Raw genomic sequence first — 18,287 nt, forward strand, 5'->3', positions numbered from 1 at the left:
TACAAAAATTAGCTGGGCGTGGTGGCACACGCCTGTGATTCCAGCTACTCAGGAGGCTGAGGCAGGAGAATTGCTTGAACCTGGGAGGCAGAGATTGCAGTGAGCCGAGACTGCACCACTGAACTCCAGCCTGGGTGACAGAGTGAGACTCTGTCTCAAAGAAAAAATAATAATAAATATAAAAATAAAAATAAATAAAAGAGTTGCAAGAACCTACACCCTAGGCCCCTTTTGCCCTTCCACATAGCATTCAAGGCACCATCTTGAAAGTGGAGACCAGGCCAGCACAAGACATCAAACCTGACAGTGCCTTGATCTTAGAGTTCCCAGTCTCCAGTACTGCAAGAAATAAATTTCTATTATTTATAAATTACCCAGTCTCAGATATAGTTATATCAACACAAATGAACTAACATACTGACCAAGCTTCAAGGCTAGATCTCCTACTTTAAAGAGATAAGGATGTACTAATAATACATAGGCATGCTCAATTTAGGATGGTAGATAAAAGTATGTCAAAAGATCTTAAAAGAAACTTACCCTATGATATATTTCAGACTATGCTGTGTGACTGTAGTAGCGCTGGTATTATCAAATGCTTTATTTCTTTCAAATTTATTGCCATAGTCCAAAGTAAATTTGATTTGAAAGATAACCCACTTTAGCCTAAAATATGAGGAAGTTGCAGTCTGATAAAACTGGTTTTCTTTTGAATGGCTGCCTGGTATCAATGGGATATACTCTATAAAAACTGTAATTATCTACTTTTCCAGGGTTTTACAGCTGTGTCTAGAGTTGAGACTTCAGAAATATCACCATTAAGCCACCTAAGTCTGAAATACTAACAATGAACTTACTATTTTCTTCTTAGCTTCCTAACAACACATTTCCTGGTACCTCCAACCAAATTCTCTTCCTTCCTTGAATATTGTTGTTTTGTAGGAGGATGTCATGACCCTCATTCTCATTCTACACACCTATTTCCTCACGCAACCCTACTCTAATCCAAGTGAAGCAAAGCCTTCCCAGACAGCTCCCTCTCATCCATCTCCATATCCCCCCAACCTTTAACCACTCGGTACATAACTTCTATTCCTTGCATACGTCATACTTGCTAATCTTTCTCACCAGTCAATTATGAGTTCCTTTATTTATTTTTTAAATTTATTTATTTGAGATGGAGTCTTGCTCTGTCACCCAGGCTGGAGTGCAGTGGCGCGATCTCGGCTCACTGCAACCTCTGCCTCCCAGGTTCAAGCGATTCTTCTGCCTCAGCCTCTGGAGTAGCTGGGACTACAGGTACATGCCACCATGCCCAGCTAATTTTTATATTTTTAGTAGAGACAGAGCTTCACCATATTGGCCATGCTGGTCTTGAACTACTGACCTCGTCTCAGCCTCCCAAAGTGCTGGGATTACAGGCATGAGCCACCTAGGACTTTAACACAATGCACTTACTGACATATCAATAATAAGTACTGAATTGAGACCACAACCAACTCCAAGGACTCAATTCATTTCTTCATTCAACAGAGCTGATAAAAAGAATTGCCCAGTTTTCTGTAGTAGAACTGAGAAATTTCTGATTAATTTGAAGTCAACAGGTAAGATAATTCCTTATTTTTTCTTTCTTTCTTATTTTTATTTTGTTTTCTATATTTTGAGGGATTTTGGTGTTTAGATTTTTTTTTTTTTTTTGAGAATTCCTTATATTAGCTGCCTAAACCTGTCATGAAATTACCTAAACCAGTGGGTCTCAAACCTAGCAGAGCTTCCGGAGGAGCTTTTTAAAATTCAAACACTTAGGCCCACATGAGATTCTAATTCAGTTATTCTGGGATGAACCCCAGAATGACTTTAATGGGAGGCAGTGGTACATTTATATAGGGAGCCCCGAGTCCTAAATACTCTTCCAATGTGAAGCTGAGTGGTCACTGGAGTTGATGAGCCAGGAGTTTACATATAAATGAGCCAACAAACTAACAGTATATGAATGGGCTAAGTTCAAAAATACTGATAAGTAGATAAAACACACAAATCTAAATGGTACTTTGATAACTGTATACATGCAGCTTACTATTGTTATTAATGAATTCAAGTCTGGGTGGCCAGAAGGAAGAGAGAGAAGACCACAGTCAAAAAAAGACTGTAGGCCGGGCACAGTGGCCCACGCCTGTAATCCCAGCACTTTGGGAGGCTGAGGTGGGTGGATCACGAGGTCAGGAGTTTGAGACCAGCCTGGCCAACATGGTGAAACCCCGTCTCTACTAAAAATACAAAAAAAATTAGCCGGGCATGGTGGTGGGTGCCTGTAATCCCAGCTGCTCCGGAGGCTGAGGCAGGAGAATCGCTTGAACCCAGGAGGCAGAGGTTGCAGTGAGCCAAGACCGTGCCATTGCACTCCAACTCCAGCCTGGGCCACACAGCGAGACTCCCTCTCAAAAAAAAAAAAAAAAGACTGTAAGGGGAGATGAAAGAGAGAAGCAGGCTAATTTCTAGGATCTATGAAGGGAGCCATTATATATTAAATTAGAAGAACACTGAACTTGGGAATAAAGAGCCATGGTTTGCAACATCCAATTTGTCCTTTCAAGGCTGTGTCACCTTAGGCAAGTCAAGTCTCTCAAGCTCAGTTTGTTTCCTTTTCTATAAAATGGATCTGCCTTAGCAGCAAAAACCAACAAATATGTTGCTTTTGTTTTTGTTTTGCTGAACCTACCAGGATACAAAGTATATATGCAAAAATAATAGATTCATAATTTCCCATTAATCATCTCATGAAATCACAATTGTATCATTACTATGGTTATATAAAAGGCAATGCAGTAGTTCAGAGCAGTAACTGAGGACCTGCACAGCCTAAGTTCAAATCTGGCTCCACCAGGATTTGGGCTAGATTCCTTCCCTCTTTGGGCCTCACTATGTAAAGAAGGGCTGATATTTTAAGCTGCCCATTTTACAGATAGGTTAATAGAATAAAGCTCTGAAAATAGTCATGACCCTCCTTAAGGTTAGGAGCTCAAGGATAACATGGAAATAATGGAACACATGCCAGAAACCCAACATTTTGATTCCTACTCTATTCTTTCCACAAAATCTCTATTCTCTTGAAGTTTTCATTTCCTAGCTGGCTAATGTTACCCCTCAAAACCAAATTATCTTAGAATCCTAAATCAAATTCTAAACTTTGTTCTTGTCAAAAAAATCTTGATGAGCAACTATATATTCTATAAATCAAAAATATATTTTAGAAATGGAAGATGGGAAAAGCCACAAGGTTACCAGAGAAAAACAGTAGTTATAGAGGAACCCAGAAGAGTGGGCTGCTACCAAGCACAATTTTTAAAAACCCCAAACCCATACTCTACCACAAATCCCTGAAGCCAGCCTCCCACTGGAAAATTTGGTGGCTGTTCTCAATTTGTCCAAAATACATCATATTGGATGAAAGCCTCTCTGAGACAGGCAAAAGTCTAAAGACCTGGAATTTTACAAAGTGGAGGTAATACTCAAATTTCACTGTATAAACTTCTCTTATATCCACCCCTTTCCCCACTGTCCTATAAAGATAACAGAATACAAATCCTAAGGGCTCCTACCTCCCATCTCTTCCAAGTTAAAGCCTGGCAAGGATGAGATATTACCATCTGGTTTAAATGTCACCAAATGATGAGTTGGTATAACCACAGAAAATTGGGAGGATCCTGCCTTAAAGACCTTGTAATTATGTGGGCTTGATAGGGATTTGTTCTTTGTTTCTGGGGTTATGTGATTAGAGTAGTATTAAAATGTTTCAGTATCTGTAGCCTGTAGTATGTATGCCCCATAAGAATATGTGCTTAATGAAAAGTTCCAATCAAGTGCTTGAAACACACTAAGTTTAGGCTTTAGTTCTCTGAACATTACAATTTGGTCAAGCCAGTGAGATGGCAAAAATTAACTCAAGAATGCACAACAATCTGCCTAAGGGCACATAAAGTACATAGCTGGGAAAAGAAATCTTAGCCTAGCTATCTACTCCTAACAAAAATACCTAAGCATTTGACAATTTTAAATGGTACATATACCATTGGGGAGTGTCTTAATACATTTAGAAAGCAGTATTAAGTGACTGATTCAAGACCAAAAAATCCACATTAAAGTCACAATAGAAATGTAGCATATGGTAGTCCCCACCCTTATCTGGAGGGATACATTCCAAGACCCCCAGTGGATGCCTGAAACCATGGATAGCAAATACTAAACCCTATATATACTATGTTTTTTTCCTATACATACATACCTATGATAAAATTTAACTTATAAATTAGGCACAGTTAGAGATTAACAATAACAATTAAACAATACACTGTAATAAAAGTTACATGGGGCCGGGTGTGGTGGCTCACACCTGTAATCCCAGAACTTTGGAAGGCTGAGGCGGGCAGATCACTTGAGGTCAGGAGTTCAAGACCAGCCTGGCCAACATGGTAAAACCCCCAACTCTACTAAAAATACAAAAATTAGCCGGGCGTGGTAGCAGGTGCCTGTAGTCTCAGCTACTCAAGAGGCTGAGGCATGAGAATCGCTTGAGCCCAGGAGGCAGAGATTGCAGTGAGCCGAGACACACTACTGCACTCCAGCCTGGGGGACAGAGTAAGTCTCTGTCTCCAAAAAATAAATAATAAAAAATAATAATAATAAAAGTTACATGAATGTAGTCTTTCTCTCAAAATATCTTATTGTACTGTCCTCACCTATTTTTGGACAGCAGTTGACAAATTCTATCCGTGGTTTTCCTTTCTGCAGATAAGAGGAGACTACTAGAAGCTGGGCGCAGTGGCTCACACCTGCAATCTCAGCACTTTGGGAGGCTGAGGCAGACAGATCATCCGAGGTCAGGAGTTTGAGACCAGCCTGGCTAACATAGTGAAACCCCATCTCTATTAAAAATACAAAAATTAGTTGGGCGTGGTGGCACGTCGCTGTAATCCCACCTACTCAGGAGGCTGAGGCAGGAGAATCACTTGAACCCAGAGGCAGAGGTTGCAGTGAGCTGAGATCGCACCATTGCACTCAAACCTAGGCAACAGAGCAAGACTCCATCTCAAAAAAAAAAAAAGAGGGGACTACTCTCTACATGGGTTTACCTAAGAGGCAATGTTATGAGGTCCAATAACAGAAGATATATTTGAATAAAAAACTAGGAAATTTAAGTTTATATGATTACATAGGGGTCCTAATTAACTTTTTTTTTTTAACATAAGATTGTCTAATTGTTGGTAAATAATAAAATATAGGGAGTAAAATACAGGGAGTCAGTCTTGGTGCAAGGTGAAGATTGTCTAATTGTTGGTAAATAATAAAATATAGGGAGTAAAATACAGGGAGTCAGTCTTGGTGCAAGGTGAGGCCACAGAGCTGTAATGGGCCTGACCAGCCTCGCACTGTACAAGCACCAATCTAGAGCTAGGACTGAAGCTGCAAGATGACTGACAGGACTCTGGGGGCATTAGCTCCCTCCAACAAATGGTGGTCTCACGTTTCAAGGGCTGTGGTCACCTCCTTCCTCGTGACACCCCTGGACATGGTGGAAGGTCCATTTGCAGCCTCAGTGCCCGCTGGTGGCCAGTGAGCTGACACCTTCCTCCAGACTTCAGAGCCTCTCTTATGCCAAGCTGCCCTCCTCTCTCCAATCCTGTACTACAATGGTGTCCTGGAGCCTCTGTACCTATGACCAAATGGTCCCCGCTGTGCCACCTGGTTTTAAGACCCTACCAGCTTCACTGGCACCTTGGATGCCTCTGTGAAGATTCTGAGGCACAAGGGCACCAGGACCCTGTGGAGTGGCCTCCCAGCCACCCTGGTGATGACTGTGCCAGCTACCACCAACTACTTCACTGCCTACAACCAACTCAAGGCCTGCCTGTGTGGCTGAGCCCTTACCTCTACATAACCTTGGTAGCTGGTGTGCTGGTCCACCCTGGCACTATCACTGCAATCATCAGTGCCCTGGAGCTTATGCAGACAAAGCTGCAGGTTTAGCATATGTTATACTATGTGCTGGTACCTGTGTTTGAGCTCCGGTGGCTTAGAGTGGTTGGTGCTCACTGTGGCTGTGCCGGGGCCCCACTCTCCTTAGAAATGTGCCCTTCTCAGCCCTGTACTGGTTCAACTACGAGCTAGTGAAGAGCTGGCTGAATGGGCTCAGGCCAAAGGAACTCCATGGTCCCATGACAACCATAGGAGTCAGCTTTGCAGCTGGCAGCATCACCATGATGCTGGCTACAGTGCTGACCCTAACCTTTGTCGTGATGAAGACTCAACACCAGGCCACACTCGGAGTGATGGAAGCCGTGGAAGTGACATCCCTGGATGCGGACTCTACCTGGTTGCTCAGAGGTGGATCTGTGCCAAGTCGGGCATCAGAGGGCTCTTTGCAGGCTTCCTCCCTTGGATCATCAAGTCTATCCCCTCCTATGCTATCACGATCACCACTTATGAGTTCAGCAAAAGTCTCTTAAAGAGACTCAATCAGGACCAGCATCTGGGCCATTCAAAGGGGCAAGGAGGCAAGGACCCCCATCTCTCCAACAGATGGGGAAAGAGGGGAGGAGGGACTGAACCCCTCAGCCCTGAGGGGAGGATCCTTGTTTCCATTCCCGCTGTGCAACAGCCCCAGGGGTCCAGGGGTAGGCTGCCCCTCTGGGCAGCCCAGGCCATCCTCAGACACAGCTTCCTCCTGCTGCTTCCATCCTGGGGATCATCCATTTCCTACCCTCCAAGTTCAAGACCAAATCTGCTATCTGCCCCTCCCCTATGTTTCCCTCTGTGCTTGCTGTAGCTGGGCCTGCCCCAAGGAGTCAAGATATCCTGGGACCTGGTCTAGTCTCCCTGCTCCTTTGTTAATTCCTTAAGTCTAAATATAATTAACTTCAATAAATAAATAAATAAAAGAATAAAATATGATGGTGGCTCTTGTCCTAAAATATTTTCTTAAAAGATCTAGGTAAACATTTTTCCTGCCACTTCTACTTTTCTCCCCACTTTACAAGTAGGATAATTGCAAAATTACTAGACTTCAACTATTGACCCCTCCTGTCAGACATGAATTGAGATTATTTAAATTATGTTAGTAAGTACAATATCCTTCTATTTGCGTGGCTTCCACAATGTCACAGTCATCCCATATTAGGGGAAATTTAAATCACTGTAAACCCTTCTTAATACAAATCTCACCAAACTAAACTCCTGCCTATATACATGCACTACATAAGACACACAAATGCACCTGCAAATTTTCTGAAATAATTTTTAACAGCTCTACCTTTTAAAACATGTTAATCTCACTAATCTGTTTAGGGACAGGCCGGGCATAGTGGCTTGTGCCTGTAATCCCAGCACTCTGGGAGGCCTAGGCAGGTGGACTGCTTGAGCTCAGGAGTTCAAGACCAGCCTAGGCAGCATGGTGAACCCCGTCTCTATTAAAATAAATACAAAAACTAGCTGGGCATGATGGTATGCACCTGTAGTCCCAGTCCCAGCTACTAGGGAGGCTGAGGTGGAAGGATGACTTGAGCCCAGAAGGCGGAGTTTGCAGTGAGCCAAGATCACATCATGCTGCACTCCAGCCTGGCAACATAGTGAGACCCTGTCTCAAAAAAAATAAAGATTCAGGGACAGAAAAGCTTTGTCTAAACCAATTGAAGGATTATAGTCTATATATTCTAGGGTTTTTTTTGTTCGATTGGTTTTTGTCTTTTTTTTTTTTTTTTGTACAGATAGGGTCTGCTATGTTGCCCAGGCTGGTTTCAAATTCCTGTGCTCAAGCAATCCTCCCACCTGCACCTCCCCAAGTGCTGGGATTACAGGTGTGAGCCACTATGCTGGCTATACTCTGGTTTTGATGATGGGTTTTTGCCTTTTTTTGGGGTTGCGGGGTGCGGTTTGCCTTTTCAAGTTTCACTTTTAAAACATCCCTTCATGGCCAGCCTGGCTAACATAGTGAGACACCATCTCTACAAAAAAATTTGAAAAATTAGCCAGGCATGGTGGTGTGTGCCTGTAATCTCAACTAAATGGGGGGCTGAGGTGGGATCATTTGAGCCCAGGAGTTCGAGGCTCCAAGGAGCTGTGATTGTGCCACTGCATTACAGTTTGGGCAACAAAACAAGAAAAAAAGAAAACAATCCCTTCACAGCCAGGTGCAGTGGCTCATGCCTGTAGTCCCAGCACTTTGGGAAGCTGAGGTGGGAGGATGGCTTAAGGCCAGGAGTTCGAACCAGCCTCGGCAACACAGCAAGACCCTGTCCCTAAAAAAAAATAATAATTCTGGGTGTGGTGGCATGTATACCTGTGGTCCCAGCTATTCAGGAGGCCGAGGTGAGAGGACGGCTTGAGCTCATGAGGTCAAGGCTGCAATGAACTATGATTGCACCACTGCACTCCAGCCTGGGCAACAGAGCAAGACTCTGTCCCCGGGGGACAAGGGGAAATCCCTTCACTATATGGGAAAATGAGGGATGTGTACTTGGCACTAACCCTTGTCTCACTAAATCTGTCCCCAGACTCTTCTTAGCAATGAGCAAATAAAGCTTTGGGATTTAAGCTCCTTGCAATCCATCAATTAATTAGTCTGGACAGCAGCCCTAGGTCAGTGTCAGATCCCCTTAGAGCAGATGACAAGCATACGTTGCAGAAAAATGACTTTGTCCAAGGTCATGATGTAACTAGATTGAAGACTCTACCCACCTATTTTTTAAAATCTAGAAAATACCCCTCCTGTCCTCTTTTACATAATAGAGGAACTGGCTTTTGAAAAGTAATTTTAACCCGGGCGCGGTGGCTCGCGCCTGTAATCCCAGCACTTTGGGAGGCCGAGGTGGGCGGGTCACCTGAGGTCGGGAGTTCGAGACCAGCCTGACCAAGATGGAGAAACCCCATCTCTACTAAAAATACAAAATTAGCCGGGTGTGGTGGCAGGTGCCTGTAATCCCAGCTACTAGGAAGGCTGAGGCAGGAGAATTACTTGAACCTGGGAGGCGGAAGTTGCGGTGAGCCGAGATCACGCCACTGCATGCACTCCAGCCTGGGTGACAAGCGTGAAACTCCATCTCAAAAAAAAAAAAAGTAATTTTTAAAAAAGAAAAAAACGTGATAAATAAAAATATACATACACACAGTCCCCTTGATAAACCTCTTTTTTATCCCTGCAAAATAATAGTTAAATTTCACAGCATTTTACAAGAGATTACCATGTGAAATGAAATCAACAAGTTCTAAAAGGTCATTATGTGACCACCTGCCTGGTGGCATCTCCTATCTCAGAAATGAAGTTATTATTTCAAGGAAGCAGGGAGAAGTCTTTAGATTTTAAGGGACATTAATAGAAAATATTTTCCAATGACCTAATTTTTAAATTGAACCTAACAATCTAACAAGTAATTCATCAGACTCTTCAAATTCTCATTTCCCTAAAACTTCTTTTCCAGAAAGGGACTTTTGTTTTGTTTTTGTTTTTTGAGACGGAGTCTTGCTCTGTCACCAGGCTGGAGTGCAGTGGTGCGATATCGGCTCACTGCAATCTCCACCTCCCAGGTTCAAGTGATTCTCATGCCTCAGCCTCCCGAGTAGCTTGGGACTACAGGTGCGTACCACCACGCCCAGCTAATTTTGTACTTTTGGTAGAGACAGGGTTTCACCATGTTGGCCAGGATGGTCTCAATCTCTTGACCTCATGATCCACCTGCCTCGGCCTCCCAAAGTGCTGAGATTACAGGTGTGAGCCACCGCACCCAGCCATTTTGTTTTGTTTGTTTTTGAAACGTCTTGCTCTGTTGCCCAGGCTGGAGTGCAGTGGCGTGATCAGGGCTCACCGCAACCTGGAACTTCTGAGCTCAAGCCATCCTCCCACCTTGGCCTCCCGAGCAGCTGGGACTACAGGTGCACGTCACCATTCCCAGCTAATTTTTTGTCTTTTGTAGAGATAGGGTCTCACTATGTTTCCCAGGCTGATCTCAAACGCCTGACCTCAAGCGATCCTCCTGCCTGGAGCCTCCCAAAGTGCTGGAATTACAGGTGAGAGCCACCATGCCTGGCTAGAACATCATTCTGTTTCTTGGTTACTACTGATGTCAGCTCTGTTTTGTCAGGCTAAATACCCACTCTGACCAGAAGGCCCCTTCCTAAGAAAAGAAAGTTCAGATAAAGTCTGGCCAATACAAAAATGAACAGATAAAGAAATGAAGTGATGTTAGCAGAGACTAACCTCCACCCACCAACCGACTCCAACACCTCCATGTGCCAACAGACCTGCAGCTGGTCAAGTTACTTGACATGTCCCAACAAATGTGTAACAAAGCAACAAAGCCATTGACTAAAACTGAGAAATACTATCCCCAACCTAATTGGGCAAAATGACCATCACTGACTGAAGGCTAGAAAGCTCACCTCATAATTGCCCAAATGTCACTTATAACCTGAATAGGACAAAAGCTAAGCTAAGCTGTTCTTTACAAATGAAGATCCCTAGTTTTGTCTCAACTCCAATGCTGCTACTCCACTTTCTGCTCTTCTATCCAGGAAAATAGCTAAAGTAACTATTCTTTACACTTTTGTGTATGCTTCACATTTTTTGTAATAAAATTTTTTAATTTACTCCCTGAAGTGACGGGTCTGGCAGAACAAAATGATTAGTTTTTATATCCGAAAGAAAGCTTAAATGCTTAAAAAAAAAAAGCAGCAGCAGCACATATGGGATGACTCTAAGGCCATGTGTAAAGATATATGCTGATGGTGCTTTAAGAAGGATGGTCTACAGTTAAAGGACTGAGTGTCTTAAATCATGGTGGGGGGTAGAGGACTTAAAAGAATGCATTCCAGTCAAATTCTGCATCTTTGTTCCAAACATCCTACAATTATGGAACTGAAATGCCTCACTGTCCTAGAGACATCTTTTCTTCATTAATCTGGTTCATAAACTTGGTTGTAAAAAGCAAATTCAAAGAATTCATCTAATAATGACAGAAAAAGAAACATTTCTGAATGAATTTGTGGAAGTGTACAATTTAATTTTTCATTTAATTTTTATTTACAATTTTCATTTAATTTTCATATTAATTTTTCCTCTTTAATCCCATGCAAGGACACAGCAGTTAATAAATACTTAAGAAATACTTCTCAATTGCATACCATTCTTATGTCTAAAACAAGTTTCTCACAATCTGGATTTTATAAATCCAGTTATTAGTATCTCAAACTTTAAATAATCAAAAGTCAATGGCAGCAGCCTAAGAATATGGCTTTCCCAAGGTATCAACTCACCCACCCACTCACCCCAAAGAGACTTGTCGGTACGCCCTCTGGTGAGTCCCCTTCAAGAGACCCAAACTTAAATTTGAGAATGTGTAGCCCTCCAGTTCCCAACCTTCATTCCATCTTTTTTTTTTTTTGAGGCTGCCAATGATCTGTACTATAACAGGTATATTAGAAAATACCAAATTCTCTTAGAGAAAAAAAAATTGCACAACAATCTCAACACTGAGAGGACTGTCCAAGGATGAAAGCAAGGTACTCCTAGGTTAGTAGTTTTTCAAACCTATAGATGGCATTTGGAAAGAAGTACACGCATAGGCTTCAAAAAACCCTGAACACCAGAAACCTAATTAGCACTTTCATTTTAGGGGCACGGGCTTTCCCTTATCCTTTTCTACAGCCAACCTTAATGGGGTCCAATTAAGGCAACAATGAAAGGTTACAAAAGTCTACAAAAAGGTCCCATTACAGCATTTAAACAGGGTTCATTTTTTTTAATCAAATAGTTTACACTGTTTTTTTGTTGTTGTTGTTTGTTGTTGTTGTTGTTGTGTTTGTTTTCTTTTTTGAGCCTGTTGCCCAGGCTAGAGTGCAATGGAGTGATCTCGGCTCACTGCAACCTCTGCCTCCTGGGTTCAAGCAATTCTCCTGCCTCAGCCTCCCGAGTAGCTGGGATTGCAGGCGCCTGCCACCATGCCCAGCTAATTTTTATATTTTTAGTAGAGACAGGGTTTCGCTATGTTGGCCAGGCTGGTCTTGAACTCCTGACCTCAAGCGATCCGCCCACTTAGGCCTCCCAAAAGTGCTGGGATTACAGGCACGAGCCACTATGCCCAGCCCTGTATTTTTTTACCCAAGAGAAAATTCCCCCACTGGCAGATTTCTACCCACTTATAAATGTAAACCAGTAAACACATTTTTCACTAATCTATCAACCTGAAATACTCTAATACTCTAAGTCTAGGCCAACAGGTCATAAAGAAAATTACCCTAGAAACAGAGAAAGAATAAAATTAAGGTTTAATAATTTTCTCTTAATTTTTCTTATCAGTGTCTCAACAAAATAATTCAGGCCAGGTGCACTGGCCCATGCCTGTAATCCCAGCACTTTGGGAGGCCAAAGCGGGAGAACTGCTTGAAGCCAGGAGTTCAAGACCAGCCTGGGCAACATACTGAGAAACCGCATCCCTACAATTTATTAGAGGCTGAGGAGGGAGGAGCACTTGAGCCCAAGAAGTGGAAGCTGCAGGGAGCCTTGATTGCAACACTGCATGCCAGCCTGGATGACAGAGTGAGATTAAAAAAAAAAGGAAATTTCAGGCCCTGGCTTTTAATAGAGAATGTTTATTAATGTTTTTCAAAGGTAATTCTCTACTCATTTCGCTCTTTTAAAAGTTTAGATTGCATGTTTAAAACCATACCCTATAACCATAGGAAGGGAAGGAAATTTTTCCAGTGGGGGTGGGGACTCAAATCTTTAGCTGACTCATATTTGCAATATCATTCACATTACATTCTTAAAGTCTACACGTTTTGTTTATTAGTTCACTAAGAATTACAACTGGGTAGATATGTTTGTGGCTACTAATGTGCCCAATTTACCACTGGCAAAGTCAAATTTAGCTAAACACCCATTCAATAACTACAACAAATGAAGTTTGTTTTAGCTTTAAGGTAGACATTTGTGGCCTAGGTGCGGTGGCTCACGTCTGTAATCCCAGCACTTTGGGAGGCCGAGGTGGGTGGATCACCTGAGGTCAGGAGTTCAAGACCAGCCTAACCAACATGGTGAAACCTCGTCTCTACTAAAAATACAAAGTTAGCCGGGCGTGGCGGTGCATGCCCACCCAGCTACTCAGGAGGCTGAGGCAGGAGAATCGCTTGAACCCGGGAGGCGGATGTTGCAGTGAGCAACATGACGTTGCGCCATGGCACTCCAGCCTGGGCAACAACAGCAAAACTCCATCTCAAAAAAAAAAGGTAGACATTTGTGGCCTAGAACTGTAGGACTTAATCCAACCTCCTACCAGGTTTTTCTCCTGGGCATTATAGTCCTAAATTTGTCTTAAAAGGTAGTTAGGGGTCGGGGGAGGGGGGAGGGAAAGCATTAGGAGATATACCTAATGTAAATGATGAGTTAATGGGTGCAGCACACCAACATGGCACATGTGTACATATGTAACAAACCTGCACGTTGTACACATGTACCCTAGAACTTAAAGTATAATTTAAAAAAAGGAAAAAAAAAGTAGTTACAAGTGAGTTCAGGGTTTCTTTTGAGGGAGATGAAAATGTTCTACAATTGATTGTGGTGATGGTTGTACAACTCTGAAAATATCAAAAACCACTGAATTACACATCATAAATTCGTGAATTGTATGGTATATTTCAATAAAAGGGTTTTTTTTTTAAGTAGTTATAAGTTCTTCCTTTGCTCAAGGATGTTTCTACTGATAAGCCTCTTCTCTAAACGTTAAAGGCTTAAAGTGGCCAAAGATACAAGTAGGGAAAGATTTCATGACACCAAAGAAATAGGGAAAACAGAGAGAGGGTTAGGCCTAAGTCGATCAAACCCCAAATTAGGGAGAATGATACGCTGGAAAGGGAGTAAATGAGCTCCATATCATTAACACTTCTACCATACAAAGAAGTGTATAAGTTCCTCCCTCTTCTCTAGGAGTGGAACCAACAGGCTCACTCAAAAATGGTGACTGTATTAAAACATTTAAGGGCAGTTTTACACTTGGCTATAAAGATGAAGGAATCAAACTAGTAACCACAAGAAGTTAAAGCTGAAAAATTTTTGTCTCTTGTGGCCTCTGGGGTTTGATTTAAACCTTCTCCGGACACAAAGAAGAAATCTGTGGAATCTAGGCCCGGCACGGTGGCTCACGCCTGTAATCCCAGCACTTTGGGAGGCCGAGGCGCATGGATCACCTGAGGTCGGGAGGCAGAGGTTGTGATGAGCCACTGCACTCCAGGCCTGGGCAACAAGAGCAAAATTCCGTCTCAAAAAAAAAAAAAAAAAGAAATTTGTGGAATCTATCTATGGCCAAATGTGAGACATTTGAAAGCAAGAAAATAAGTTACTAAAGCCATAAATATATTCCTATCAAAATTTGGGAGACAAAAAAGTATTTACTGAGCAGCCAACTATTTTTCTGCCTAATAGTTACACCCTTAAAATTACTCATCTCCAAATACCACAAAGTGATATGGAAAAATATCATTTGTCCTTAAACAGACATCTAAGTACAGTATCATGGAGGAAATTAAAAATTTGCATTTTAAAGGTGACAAAACCAGAAGCCAGATGAATTGTAAATTTAAGAAGGTTTTGGTCCAGAAAACAAGCCTGGTTATCCTACATAGTTGATATAATTTGAAACAAAGGTTTGTATTAAACTTCAAACTCAGATTTGAAGTATAGTCTTCTTGACTTAATCACGTTTTCTCACATTTATCTTACTATATTTTCAAATTTCTGAGAACCCCTAAGCTGCCATATACAAAATAATGTAAGTACTCTAAGTTTTCAGAAGCCAAGCAGTTTGGGAGTCTCACTGAGAAAGCAGCTATAAACTGAAACTATATTAAGTACCATTGGTAAAGATACAAAGGTAAGAACAAAAGGAGACAGAAATGTTTTATACTTCTCCTTACCTTCTAACAAGTAAAATACCAATAGTTCCAATTCCCCTTCTAATATAACCATTTGTGTTCCAAAAACTCGGTGAACAAAAATCATCCAGAAATACAGACATTATATATATCACCATGGAAAATATTTCACACTTCTTGAAGGGTTTTTTTGTTGCTATATATCAACTATATGAAACCACTTGTTCACAGTTAGCTTTCCCAAAAACAAAACAGTTTCTAAAACAAAGACTGTTTACATCTCTTAAGAAGCCTTTGTTCCAACAAGACCCCTCTTCAAGAGCTACAACTTCTGGAAAGATTTCCCTTTTTGTGGTTATATCAACAACAAATACTCTCAAACTCTTTCCATTTGGCAAAGGAGTTTGTTAAACAAAGGAGGAAGCAAGTCCCCTCCACACAAAGGAGGTCTCCAAACAGAGTACTGGTTGTATTTGTAGATTATTGGTGCCTCTTTAACCCCTTTCCTCAGGCTGTACTATGTAGCACTCTCAATACAAAATGGTGGCCATCATGTCTGTCTGACATTCAGAGTGAGAAAAAGGCAATTCGATCACACATTTTGCAAAGATTACCATTAATATTCTAGCCAAGATGAGGAAATGGGTAGCCAAGCCTAACCAGAGCAACACTATCTTTTCAGAAAAAGGGCCCTCTAAAAGGCAAAGAACAAGAAAACAAGATAAAGGATTTACCCCAGCCCTGGTATACCACAATACCAACATGGAGGACACCTCCCAGGAACCTGACTCCCCACGTTTTGGTTACTAAGAACTTAGTCAAGTTACCCAATTTCTGAATAAAATCCCATTATGCAAATGTGCAATATTCATATTCACCCTTCCTAGCATGTGACATGAAGCTACATTACTACAGTGTGAAACATGACCTATTATTCAAGAATTAAAACCTTGGCTCTAACCAGCCCTGTTATAACTTCTGCAGGCCTCTTTGCACTAAGAGAAACGTACTTCCCTTAAGCAGCAAGAATCAACCTTGCCCACTTCGCTGTAAGAAATGGATCTATTTTCAAACATTTCCCTCATATTCGCTGGCCAGTTATTTTCTGAAGCATGTATTTCATCTCCATTTTCAAACTTGCTTAAGAAAAACTAAAGTAGGTGTCCGTGTTTTAATTTGGGGCAGGGAAGGGTTAAGAAGCCTTATTTTCAGGGATCTCCCTGAAAACAGCTTTCCAAAACATAACGATTACAAACAGAATCCCTACAACTCAAAATGTCATTACAAAAAGCAAGCTTAAGGGAGAAAGGGGTGGGAAGGGGTCTTCCTCTACTTAGAAGTGGGGGTGGGGGAAGAGAGTGGGGAGAAGATTCTTAAACAGCAGGAAAGGCAGTTAAACCCGCTTCCCAACGGTCCCAGCCCGTCCAACCGCCGCTTAGGCCAACTCGGACTCAGACCCTCCCGAAAGGTGGGCAAAAAAAACAGGGGTGTAGGAGCGCACCCAGTTCCGGCCACGGAGGAAGGAGTTGGCCGGGCTCTCCTCAGCGAACGTTGGAGCCGTTACGGATGGTTTCAGCAACACCCACCCCTCACTCACTGCCCCCAGGCCCGAGGCGCTGTAGACAGGGCTGGAAGGGCTGCGGTGGGTGACTGCCTTTCAGTGCCCGGAGCCTGAGGGCCGGGGGAAACGAGCACGAAATCTTCGGAGGTCTCTCCGTCTGACGTTCCCCTACAAACACGGCCTCGCCCGGACCCCATCCCCACCAGCACAGCCCAGGCCTCCCCGGGGAGCCGAGCGGCTGAGCCAGAAGAAGCCGGGAGTGTGCGCGTTCGGGAGCGCGGGCGGGCATCGGGGCCCACCGCCGCCCGTCCTGCCCCCGCCGCCCCAAAAGTGTCCCCCAGACACTAACGCCCCCCACAAACATCCGCTCCGGGGCTGGACCCGCGGCTCCTCCCCGCCCCCAGCCAGCGCTGGCCGCCCCCTTCTTGACCCCGGCCCGGGGGACACCTGGAGGCCCGGGGACCAGGCGGTGGAGGGGTGCCCTGGTCTGGAGGGTGGGGCGCCCAGGTGAGGGCCGCTCCGGGCCGACGCCGCCACCACACAAAGGACCAGGGGCTCCCGCCGCCATATTGAAAACTTTCCTCCTCGCACGACAACTCGCAAGTCCCCCACCCCCACCCCACCCCATCACACACCCCCGCACCCCGGGAGCGGAGGCGAGGACCAGCCTGCCGAGCCTCGCCGGGCCCACAGTCCTCCCTCCAGCCCGCGCCTCCGCCAGGCTCCGTGAGGAAACTCCCCCGCGACCACCCCCGGCTCCTGCCATCACTCCATCCGGAACCGAACCCGAACCTCCGCACCCGGCCGCCCGAGCCCCGCGGCGACCCGGCCCTCCCATGGCACCGCCGAAGCCCCCGGTTCTCCCACGCTCCTCATCTCCCACCCTGGAGAAGCCCCCGTCTTCCTCCCCCGGCCTCAACTCCGACCTTCTAGGCAGCCCCAAACTTGACGAGGCCGGCGGGGCGACCGGCTCCCCGCCCCCCGCGCCTCGGGCCTCCCCGGACCCGCGCGTCCCCGCTCCCTCCCCCAGCCACGAGCTGGATCCGGGGTGCTGGCGTGACTCACCGGCGGCGGCCGCACCTTACAGATGCCAGTCTGCTCGGCTATGGGCCGGATCTTGTGGATGAAAGCGAAGGGGTCCGCGAACTCTTCCCAGCTGGGTTCGAAGACCGGGCACTCGGGTGGAGGCAGGAACTCGCCCAGCGGGCCCGGGCCCCCGAGGGGCAGCGCCGGGCGCGGGCCTGGGTGCAGTGTGGTGGCCGCCTCCATCACCGCAGGCTGGGCAAGGGCGAGGCGAAGGTGGGCTCCGGGACCGAGGCTGCGAGCTCCGCTCGGTCCGAGACCCGTGCAGACGCGGCTCGAGCAACAGCAAGTCCGAGTTGTACGGGCAACGGCAGCACCTTGGGCTTTTTCAGCCTCCGACGACGACGTCTCGCCGCAAGCCCACGCCGTGCGCCTCCGCCGCCACGGCGAGGAAAAAGAGTCCCACCCCACCCCCATCGACCCACCCTCCGCGCGCGGCTCCCCGCCCCGCCCCCGAATCGGGCGGGGCCGCGCCTTCCGCTGTGGATGGAGTTTATCCTTAGGGTTTCAGTTGAGCCAACTTTTATTGACCATTTACTATGTATCAGAGTTCCTGCCCTGAAGAAGTTAAGTCTGGTAGAAAGGATCAGTCCCATAAGCCAATCATTCAATCACGTCAGTACACAATGGTAGGTGCAGTAAAACCCAGGAGGGGGTTTTGGAAAGAGTATTGGAAACGGAGAAGGATTTTCCAGTAGAGATAACAGCTTGAACATACACATAGCATGTT

General features: G+C 44.7%; 1 protein-coding gene and 1 pseudogene across 6 annotated transcripts in view, besides 6 other annotated features; one reads left to right on the top strand and one right to left on the bottom strand.

Annotated features, from left to right (window-relative positions):
* KDM5B (lysine demethylase 5B) overlaps positions 1-17,859 on the bottom strand; it is an 83,927-nt gene extending 66,068 nt beyond the window's left edge. For 3 of the 6 annotated variants that reach the window (NM_001347591.2, NM_006618.5, NM_001314042.2), the window contains exon 1: positions 17,540-17,859. In NM_001347591.2, the coding sequence (NP_001334520.1) occupies positions 17,540-17,743 (204 nt within the window). In that variant the 5' untranslated portion in view covers positions 17,744-17,859. Of the gene's footprint in view, positions 1-16,414; positions 16,738-17,400; positions 17,448-17,539 lie in introns of those variants that run through there. The other 3 variants (NM_001399817.1, XM_011509091.3, XM_011509090.4) reach the window with 3 other exon arrangements.
* Positions 5,296-5,796: an enhancer, noted in NCBI's record as "H3K4me1 hESC enhancer chr1:202764986-202765486 (GRCh37/hg19 assembly coordinates)". NCBI's record gives its function as "activates a minimal SCP1, AML or CMV promoter by ChIP-STARR-seq in naive H9 embryonic stem cells {active_cell/tissue: H9 hESC(naive)}" and the evidence as "EXISTENCE:reporter gene assay evidence [ECO:0000049][PMID:30033119]".
* On the top strand, positions 5,390-6,729 carry SLC25A39P1 (solute carrier family 25 member 39 pseudogene 1; annotated as a pseudogene).
* Positions 5,797-6,297: an enhancer, noted in NCBI's record as "H3K4me1 hESC enhancer chr1:202765487-202765987 (GRCh37/hg19 assembly coordinates)". NCBI's record gives its function as "activates a minimal SCP1, AML or CMV promoter by ChIP-STARR-seq in naive H9 embryonic stem cells {active_cell/tissue: H9 hESC(naive)}" and the evidence as "EXISTENCE:reporter gene assay evidence [ECO:0000049][PMID:30033119]".
* Positions 16,744-16,813: a silencer, noted in NCBI's record as "silent region_1703". NCBI's record gives its function as "represses an Ori minimal core promoter by ATAC-STARR-seq in GM12878 lymphoblastoid cells {active_cell/tissue: GM12878}" and the evidence as "EXISTENCE:reporter gene assay evidence [ECO:0000049][PMID:35858748]".
* Positions 16,914-17,033: a silencer, noted in NCBI's record as "silent region_1704". NCBI's record gives its function as "represses an Ori minimal core promoter by ATAC-STARR-seq in GM12878 lymphoblastoid cells {active_cell/tissue: GM12878}" and the evidence as "EXISTENCE:reporter gene assay evidence [ECO:0000049][PMID:35858748]".
* Positions 17,434-17,633: a silencer, noted in NCBI's record as "silent region_1705". NCBI's record gives its function as "represses an Ori minimal core promoter by ATAC-STARR-seq in GM12878 lymphoblastoid cells {active_cell/tissue: GM12878}" and the evidence as "EXISTENCE:reporter gene assay evidence [ECO:0000049][PMID:35858748]".
* Positions 17,664-17,873: a silencer, noted in NCBI's record as "silent region_1706". NCBI's record gives its function as "represses an Ori minimal core promoter by ATAC-STARR-seq in GM12878 lymphoblastoid cells {active_cell/tissue: GM12878}" and the evidence as "EXISTENCE:reporter gene assay evidence [ECO:0000049][PMID:35858748]".

Source organism: Homo sapiens, chromosome 1 (assembly GCF_000001405.40).
Source record: "Homo sapiens chromosome 1, GRCh38.p14 Primary Assembly".
NCBI lineage: Eukaryota > Metazoa > Chordata > Mammalia > Primates > Hominidae > Homo > Homo sapiens.